At 45.8% G+C, this 10,541-nt stretch overlaps 1 pseudogene; it reads left to right on the forward strand.

The window, feature by feature from the left end:
* Nucleotides 5,203–6,889, forward strand: CTBP2P6 (CTBP2 pseudogene 6; annotated as a pseudogene).
* The last annotated feature ends 3,652 nt before the right edge of the window (nucleotides 6,890–10,541 follow it).

The following is a 10,541-nucleotide window of genomic DNA, read 5'->3' on the forward strand; positions in this document are numbered from 1 at the left end:
CCTCCATTCTTGGACCCGGCTCTCCCTACCATTTGTGAGCCTGGGGAGCTGTCAGGGGCTCATTCTACTCCTCAGGGCCTCTTTGTCACCTCAGGATGCAGAGGACGGGTGTGGGGGGACTGGCTAACTGGTCACCATGCCAACATCACATAGTCCACATCCCTGAAAAGGAGGGGTACTCACAGCAGTGGGACGTTCAGCAGTCCAGGGAACAGCTAGTCTGTTTCATGGCTCACCTGCTCAAGAGCTCCGGCTCGGGTGCAGCCACAGCCTCAGGGTCCGCTGTAGGAGAGAATTATCCTAGCTTTCTCCTTTTTCACCAGTTTGCTCCATTTTTGCCTGGTTAAACAGAGCTCAAGGCTTAGGATTTCTTGTACCTGTCCTGGATTTCCTGGCCGTGGGAGAGGAGCCAGGCTGTGTCCTACCTGATCTGGGCCATTGTCTGTCATTCATTCCTTCATGCATTCACTCACTCTGACACTCTCATTCATGCAACAGCATTCACTGAAGTGACACAGGACCATCCTACAAGTTAATATTATAAAATCACTTTACACACGAGGACACGCTTACTCAAGAAGGTAAATGGTCCAAGGCACCCCAGATATTGAGTGTCAGAGGCAGGATCCAACCTCAGGTCTCCCCACCACTGACATTATCTTGACTATCGCTGTGCAAAATAATTGGATTGTTGACTGAAAATAAAGCCATTAAGGGCAGGGCATCTGGCACAAAGTAGCTGCTTAGTAAGCATTACAGTGAATGAATAAGCATATTCAGGGTAACTATGCAGTGTATTAGGGGCAATAACCTGGAAGACACCCATTCATTCATTCATTTGTTACACTCGGTAAATAATTACCGAGGATTCTTTGTGCCAGGCACTATGCTGGGTGCTGGGGACATAAGAAAACAAGATAGCTATCTGGTTCCATGTCTGGTGAGAGAGACAAGTAAATTGCCCATTACAGTGCAGTGAGGTGACAGCAACAAGGAGGGAAGTCCAGGCATTGGGGAAGCCATCCCTCAACCTGGGGTCCATGGCTGACTCAAAGTCAGAAGACTTTCAGGCTGATCTCAATGGCATTTCTCATATTCTGAAGCACTGAGTCATAGACCAGCTGAGCTGACATAGACCAGACCATTCTTCTAGCTCAGTTTTCACCTGCCTTGGTCATTTCATGGACCACCATCCCCATTTTTGCCATATATATATATCCCACCCACTGTTATGTAACTCATATTTTCCTTTACACTGACTCACTGAAAAAGGTGTTAAAAAAAAAGTATGTAAGATGGAAACTTTATATCACTACCAGTAATGGAAGACCAACTTATGCATAAAATACACTCACTTCACACATAAAATACACTCACAAAACAGTGTTATTAAATTCTAGGGCAATAGCATTGCTGCGGCTGACCCTGATTCCAAGACCCACTCTCTTCATTTAAAAAAGAAATGATCCAGGCATGGTAGCTTACACCTGTAATCCTAGCACTTTCGGAGGCAAAGGCAGGCCAGTTGCTTGAGCCCGTAAGTTCGAGATCAACCAGGGCAAGATGGTGAAACCCCATCTCTACAAAAAAATTAGCTGGGCATGGTGGTGCATGCCTGTGGTCCCGGCTACTTGGGAGGCTGAGGTGAAAGGATGGCTTGAACTCAGGAGGTTGTGGCTGCAGTGAGCCAAGACTATGTCACTGCACTCCAGCCTGGATGACAAGTGAGACCCTGTCCCAAAAATAAAAATAAAAAATAAATGAGCAAATGTTAGTGAGATATTAGAAACATGCAGGCACCGAGTTGATCATTTCTCTTTTATTTGAAAGGTCTGAAAGAGAATTTAAAAAGAATGAACTATTTTTAGTGGGTGATTTAATGTTATTTAGGGGCTGTCATGGGGTGCGTCACACAACGTCATCTCAGGAGCTGCTCGGTCTACGCCCACTCTTTGAGAAACACAGGTGAGCCCTGACCCCTCCCTGGACAGGTTACTGTGTCCCATGGAGGGGCTGGGGAGACTAAAGCACAGGTCAGGGCCTCCGGATGACCTCTGTGCAGTCCCTTGCATAGTTTTCTGTCCATCCCTGTGATCCTTTCCCTTAATAATAATAATAAGTGCTGTGGGCTCCACCATCACGATCTCTCCACCCCAGCTGCCGGCTTCCCATCAGCACTGTTGGGTCTCTTCCCCCACCCACGTGCCTTCACATAGTGGTCTCCCCCTCAAGAGGGAATCCCCAAGGGCAGAGATTCCCCAGCCTTGCCTTTGTGCAATGCTCAGCAAGGCCTCAGCCACTGCAGTGACTCACTGGCCTTCTCCAGGATTCTGTGGCTGGTTGGCTTTTGATATTTTCCCTTCTAAGCACATTTCAAGAGGAGAAACAAGGAGGATAGCTTATGCATAGAGGAAGCAACATTTGAGTCTCCAAATCTTGTCTCCTTGCCACTCCCAATGCACATCCCTGTTGCTAGTGCCTGAGAGTGCACCATTAGTGCTTCATTCCCTTGCATTGAAGTATTATTCCAGTTAAAAAGTGATTTAAGAGAAAATTTGCACTGGGCGTGGTTGCTCACACCTGTAATCCCAGCACTTTGGGAGGCTGAGGCAGGTGGATCACCTGAGGTTGGGAGTTTGAAACCAGCCTGACCAACATGGAGAAACCCTGTCTCTACTAAAAATACAAAATTAGCCAGGCATTGTGGTGCATGCCTGTAATCCCAGCTTCTCAGGAGGCTGAGGCAGGAGAATCACTTGAACCCAGGAGGTGGACGTTGCAGTGAGCCTAGATTGCGCTGTTGCACTCCAGCCTGGGCAGCAAGAGTGAACTCTGTCTCAAAATAAAAAGAGGCCAGGCACGGTGGCTCACGCCTGTAATCCCAGCACTTTGGGAGGCCGAGGCAGGAGGATCATGAGGTCAGGAGATCCAGACCATCCTGGCTAACACGGTGAAACCCCATCTCTACTAAAAATACAAAAAATTAGCCAGGCTTGGTGGCAGGCGCCTGTAGTTCTAGCTACTTGGGAGGTTGAGGCAGGAGAATGGCGTGAACCCAGGAGGCGGAGCTTGTAGTGAGCCAAGATCGCGCCACTGCACTCCAGCCTGGGTGACAGAGTGAGACTCCGTCTCAAAAAAAAAAGAAAGAAAGAAAGAAAAAAGAAAAAAATTGCTTACTGTGCATTTGAATTCCATTGATGTGAAATGTCCAAAATAGACAGAGAGATAGAAAGTAGGTTTGTGGTTTCCTAGGATTAGGGGAGATGGCTGAAGGATACAGGATTGTTGGGATGGGGTTTTTTTGAAGTGATGATGTTTTATAATCAATTGTAGTGATGGTTGCATAATTGTGCTAATACACTAAAAACCATTGAGTTGTACAGTTTCAATGGGTAAATTGTATGCTATGTGCATTATGTCTTGATAAAGCTCTTAGGAAGGGAAGGGGAAGGAAGGGGAGGGGAGGGAAGGGAGGAGAGAGGCCTTCATCAGTCCTGTGATGGAAGACACTACTTCTGGTGCTGCTCCTTCCTGTCCCCTCATCACCTGGAGACCTGCCCCTCTCTCTGTCATCCCTATCAGCCCATCTTTTAGTCCTTCCACTGATCCCTTTCTTTAACAACCATCCGAGCTGACACTCACTGGGTGTGGACTGTGTGGCTGGCACTGCACTAAGTGTTTTTCGTTTAGTTCCTCATTGAGTTCATTTGCTCACAAAGCTCACTAACAAAGGTCACCCTTTGCCCCAGTGCAGAAGGTTAGAAAGATCGGGGTACTTCTTGGCTTCCTATAGCTACTTCCAGGTCCCTCTACCAGCATGTCCTCCTCATAAAACCAGCTCATCCTCTGATGTCCAACCTGCACACCCTAATTCCTCTGTGTTGTCTGCCAGCCCACAGGATTCCTTCCAACCCCAACCTTCCTCCAGACTGTGCACACCAGATCACTCATGAGATCCATCCCCACACTTTGCCCTGCTCTCACCTTTTCACATCCAGGCTGATAACTTATCAGCTTACAGTTCTCAGATCACCTCAGCACTTCAGCCAGCCAGAGGTGAGGCCACACCTGGACCTTGTCATCCTTCAGGGCTGCTCTGACCCTGAGATCTCAGGCTCCTGATTTTCCGATATCTTATACAATGACCCAGCTTTCATTTTCCCCATCCATCCACTCATTGGAGCTCATTCTCTGATTTCAGGATATTTTTCCATCTAGTCCCCAGATCATTCCCCAGCATCACTACTGCATTTGAACTCTTCTTCCCATTTGAAGTTAGGGTCCCTCTAAGAACTTGCTCCTCCTGTCTCACTATTAGTCATCTTTGCAACTCCTAGCTCTTCCATTCCACTAGGCTTCCTTCTTAGCCTACAAAGATCTCTATTCTAAAAGTCTGTATTAGTCCATTCTCACGCTGCTGTGAAGAAATATCCAAGACTTATAAAGAAAAGAGATTTAATTGACTCACAGTTCAGCATGGCTGGAGAGGCTTCAGGAAACTTACAATCATGGTGGAAGGGGAAGCAAACATGTTCTTCTTCACATGACAGCAGGAAGGAGAAGTGCTGAGCAAAACACGGAAAAGCCCCTTAATAAAACCCTCCGATCTCATGAGAACTCACTATCAGGAGGAACAGCATGGAGGGTAACCACCCCCATGATTAAATTCCCTCCCACCACATGTGGGGATTATGGGAACTACAATTCAAGTTGAGATTTGGGTGGGGACACAGCCAAACCATATCAAAGTCCTTTGTGAATTATTCCATCTAGCTCTCTGGTTTCCTTTGCCACTATACTTCATGTTAGAGTTCTGTTATTCTCTCTTCATAGAGCAGTTTTTGTCCTAATGTATCATCTGTGGTCACATGGAATAGAGTAGTTTTTTTAAAGGAATGGGCTGGGCAGGCCAGCTGGGACTGGAGTGGCGGGGGTCCAGCCGGATGCTGCTTCACGCCAGCGGGTGCCCGGCACCCCTCTGGTCCGTGGGGCCCCCAGCAGGGGAGGGGCCTCAAGACCACGCGGAACCCCTGGGTGGGTCCCCAGCTCGCTTCAGAGGCTCAGAGCAGGGTCAGGGACCTGGCTCCCCGGGGCCGGAGCTGCCTCTACCCCCTGGCGTTACAGACTGCAGGCACTCCAGACCTGGGGTCGTGGTGAGGTTCCTTGATTGACTGTGTGATGGTGACTGCGTTGCAAGCGAATGGGTTCATAGTGGCATCAGGCACTCAGACTCCTGCGAGTTCCCATAAGTTCTCAGAGGACTGCTTTGCCTTTTGAACTGATAATTGCAAAATTCCATACGGAATGGCCCTTGTGGATAAGCACAAAGTCAAGAGACAGCGATTGGACAGAATTTGTGAAGGCATCATGAATGGACCCCTGCACTCCCACCCCCGATGGTGCTGCTGGACTGCCGAGATTGCACCGTGGAGATGCCCATCCTGAAGAACCTGGCCACCATGGCCTTCTGTGACGCACAGTCCTCGCAGGAGATCCACCAGACGGTTTTAAATGAAGCCGTGGGCGCCACGATGTACCACACCATCACCCTCACCAGGGAGGACCTGGAAAAGTTCAAGGCCCTGAGAGTGATCGTGTGGATAGACAGTGGCAACGACAACGTGGACATCAAGGCTGCCGCGAGCTCGGAATTGTTGTGTGCAACATCCCGTCCGGAGCCCTGGAAGAGACAGCCGACTCCACCGTCTGCGACATCCTCAATCTGTACCGGAGGAACACGTGGGTGTGCCAGGCACTGCGGGAAGGGACGTGGGTTCAGAGCATGGAGCAAATCCTCGAGGTGGCCTTGGGAGTGGTCCGCATCCGTGGGTAGACGCTGTGGGTCTCATGAGCTTTGGTCGCACGAGGCAGGCAGTTGCATTTCAAGCCAAGGCCTTTGGATTCAGCGTCATATTTTATGACCCCTACTTGCAGGATGGGATAGAACGGTCCCTGGGCATTCAATGGGTCTACACCCTGCAGGATTTGCTGTATCAGAGTTACTGCGTCTCCTCGCACTGCAGTCTCAATGAACATAACCACCACCTCATCAATGACTTTACTATAAAGCAGATGAGGCAGGGAGCATTCCTTCTGAACGCAGCCCCTGGTGGCCTGGTGGGCGAGAAAGCCTTAGCACAGGCCCTCAAGGAGGGCAGGATTACGAGGGACAGCTTTGCTCAGGGTCCATTGAAAGATGCCCCAAATCTCATCTGCATTCCTCACACTACCTGGTATAGCGAGCAGGTGTCGCTGGAGATGAGGGAGGCAGCTGCCACCGAGTTCCGCCGAGCCATCAAAGGTCGCATCCCAGAAAGCTTAAGAAACTGTGTGAACAAGGAATTCTTTGTCACATCAGCGCCTTGGTCAGTAGACCAGCAAACAATTCATCCTGAGCTCAATAGTGCCACATACAGATATCCACCAGGCACCGTGGGTGTGGCTCCAGGCGACTTCCTGCAGCCGTGGAAGGGATCATCCCTGGAGGCATCCCAGTGACTCACAACCTCCCGACAGTGGCACATCCTTCCCAAGCGCCCTCTCCCAACCAGTCCACAAAACACGGGGACAATAGAGAGCACCCCAAGGAGGAATAGCAGAGAATGCCGAAAAGTAATCATTCAGATGCATTTGGGACCGAGAGACAGTGAAACATAGATGAACTAAGAGAAAAAGAATCTGATGGTCTTTTTAACTGATTCTGGACATATGCATCATTGATGCTGCAGTGTTAAAACTGCAAGAGCTAGAAAGCTGAAGATGTCCTCTGCTTACAGAAGCGCGGAAAGATGAGGATGTGATTTATTAATGACCAACTTCTGTTATTATGTGTTAAGTTTTTCATCTGTGTATCAAATCACAAAGAATAAGTAGAGCTTTCTCCTTTATCAGTCCCTTGGGCACAGCAGGTCCTGAACACCCTGCTCTAGAATGTTGCATCAAGAGTTCAAACATCAAAACAAAAAAATATTAAGAGGAAATCCCCATGCTGTGACTCTAGTCCCTTCATTCTACAGGGGCTGGTTACCTAGCTAATAGGAAGATCACATTACTACAAAATGGGGAGAAAACTCTTTCCCTGTGGTACACACCTGCACGCATAGGATTGAAGACAGTACAGGCTCCTGTACAGAGAAGCGTCTCTCACATCTGAACTGTATACTGAGCAGGCAAGTTGGTTATAAGTTCAGTAAAACCCCTCTGATGATGAAAAAAAACATATTAAGTTTCACAAGCTATTTGTACTCAAATATATTTTCTCAGTTTCAGATCCTCTGCTATTTTATTGAGTGGAAAGTCTTGAACTAAAAGAGTTCAAGAAGAATAATGAACAAACCCACTTTTTTAGACTTTGATAAAATCTTCTTTTCTTCATGTGATATTTTATACAAGAACACTTCAGATGTATTAAATGTGACTTATTTTAACAAATCCTATTAGATTTGTATCAACTAGTTACATGTTCTATTCATAATCTTTTGTGAATCATTGCCTTTCTGTTTAAAAAGATGGCCTATTTTGAGCCTTTGTGCAGGTACAATTCTGTTTTTGTGATAAAAGAAAAACTTTAAAATTGTCCCAAACAGAAAAATAATGTCTAACAGAAGTATATTTTGTTTTAGTGTGAGTTGCCATTACTGTAATTTGTTTATTGGAAAGGCGGACATTTAGTGTTCAGTGCGGTTTTCAATAAAAAGTAATTAAAATAAAAAAAGAGAAATGGCTTTGGCAGATCAAATGGTGAAAGCCATAGCAGAGTTCAACAGTCATGAAGAATATGAGGTCTATGAGGTAGGCTAGCTACTTCTAACCATCCAGGAGAGTTTAAAGTAATATAATAAAAAGCTCAGGGTTCTAAATTCATGGCTCAAAATACAGCCAGGAACCAGGGGTTTCCTATAATTGTCCTAAAAGAACATCTTATGATTGTCCTAAAATAATATCTTATCTCTTAGAGCTAGTGAGCTGATGTAGCTGAAAATTAGACACAGATTCTTATCTTATAGGTTGCTGATTTACAACATAGATTGAATTCATAGCCTCACCAGATTTCATATGTGAAAATTAGAGCAATGATTAGGAAAGACCATTCCCAAAGATTAGAATGGTGACATTTAGGGGAACTCAGTTAATTCTGAAGACCCTTAATCCTTAACTCTACTAAGCTCTCTCACCAGTGGAAACAATTCCTCTTATCCTACCTGATGAAGATGGTCCTGCTTCCTGGTAGAAGACTTTATGACTATTCTCCACCCCCACTGCTTTACACATCCTCCAGACCCATGACTAGAAACCATCTCTGTGCACAGGGAGCCAATTGTAAAGTTGTACCCAGACAATGCTTACATGCCAAAACATGCAAATTTATATCCCAATTTAAAAACTGGAGAATAGGCATAGGAATATGTCCTAACCATGCTTGGGTAGGGAGAGAAGAGCATAAAACTGAAACCTGGACTCTGTAATAGTCAAATGCAACTGAGATACCAAAATATTCCTATGTATAATGTAGAAGACTTCCAAAGATTTAGGGAGCTAGACATATTGAATCTATCACATGTGACTGGCTTATCCTTGCTTTAACTACAAGCATACAACCCTCACCCCCTGCCACCCCCCACCTTCAAGCCAGTCCCAGGGTCTATTGTTCCCTTCTTTGTGCCCATGTGTACTCCATGTTTGGCTCCCACTTATAAATAAGAATATGTGATATTTGGTTTTCTGTTCCTGTGTTGATTTGCTTATGGCGATGGAGTTAGCCTAATTCTTAGGGACCCTAGGATTTTTGGAATGATAAATGGGCATTGGCTTCAACTTAAAGTCACCAGCTGCATTATCACCTAACAAGAGAGTCAGCTTGTTCTTTGAAGCTCTGAAGCCAGGCATTGACTCCTTCTCTCTAGCTATGAAACCCTGATATGGTTTGGATTTGTGTCCCTGCCCAAATCTCATATCAAATTGTAATCCCCAGTGTTGGAGGAGGGGCCTGGTGGAAGGTGATTGCATCTTGGGGATGGTTTCTGATGGTTTAGCACCATTTTCCTAGTGCTGTCTCATGACAGAGTTCTCCAGACATCTGCTTGTTTAGAAGTGTGTAGCACCTCCCCCTTTGCTCTCTTCCTCCTCCTCCCCCTATTTAAGTTGTGCCTGCTTCCTCTTTGCCTTCCGCCATGATTGTAAGTTTCCTAAGGCTTCCCCAGCCATCCTTCCTGTACGGCCTGTGGAATGGTGAGTCAAATTTCTTTTCTTCACAAATTATCCAGTTTTAGGTATGTCTTTGTAGCAGTGCAAGAATGGACTAATACAAGCCCCTAGATGGTATCTTCTTCCAATAGAAGGCTGCTTCATCTCCATTGAAAATCTGTTGTTTAGTGTTAGCCACTTTCATGCATGATCTTAGCTAGATAACTTGCTGCAGCTTCTAAACCATCCCATGATCCAATCACCTTCCACCAGGCCCCTCCTCCAACACTGGGGATTATAATTTGACATGAGATTTGGGCAGGGACGCAAATCCAAACCATATCAGGGTTTCACAGCTAGAGAGAAGGAGTCAATGCCTGGCTCCAGAGCTTCAGAGCTTCTGTAGTTCGGCATCATCACTCGCTGTCAAACCCTTAACTTTTATGTTATGAATACAGCTTTTTTCCTTAAATCTCATGAACCAATCACTGCTAGCTTCCAACGTTTCTTCTGCAACTTCCTCACCTCTCTCTGCCTTCAGACAATTGAAGAGAGTTAGAGCCTTGATCTGGATTAGGTTTTGCCTTAAGCGAATTGTGTGGCTGGTTTGATCTTCTATGCAGGCCACTAGAACTTTCTCCATGTCAGCAATAAGGCTGTTTCACTTTCCCATTGTTTGTGTGTTAACTGGAGTAGAACTTTAAATTTCCTTCAAAAGCTTTCCCTTTGCATTCACAACTTAGCTAACTGGCACAAGAAGCCTAGTTTTTAGCCTATCTTGGCTTCAACATGCCTTCCTCACTAAGCTTAATTATCTCTAGCTTTTGATTTAAAGGGAGAGATATGCAAGTGTTCTAGAGGCCATCGCAGGTTTATTAACTGGCCAAATTTCAATTGTGTTGTGCTTCAGGGAATAGGGAGGCCAGAGGAGAGGGAGAGAGATGGCCAATTGATGAAGCAATCAGAACACATAGAACACTTATCGAATAAGTTCGTCATCTTATATGGGCACAGTTCGTGGTGCCCCAAAACAATTACAACAGTAATATGAAAGCTCACTGATCACAGATCACCATAACAGATATAATAATAATGAGAAGTTTGAAATATTGGGAGAATTAGCAAAATGTGACACAGAGACATGAAGTGAGCACATGCTGTTGGAAAAATGTTGCTGATAGATTGCTCGACACAGGGTTGACACAAACATTCCATTTGTAAAAGCACAATGTCTGCAAAGTGAAATAAAGCAAAGCAAAATAAAACAAGTTACATCTGTATATTTCCTGGGAGGGACCAGAGGACTCTCCCTTTATCTAGACAGAGACAAACACTTTGATGAGGAGAATACCAGCCTC

Source organism: Homo sapiens, chromosome 11 (assembly GCF_000001405.40).
Source record: "Homo sapiens chromosome 11, GRCh38.p14 Primary Assembly".
NCBI lineage: Eukaryota > Metazoa > Chordata > Mammalia > Primates > Hominidae > Homo > Homo sapiens.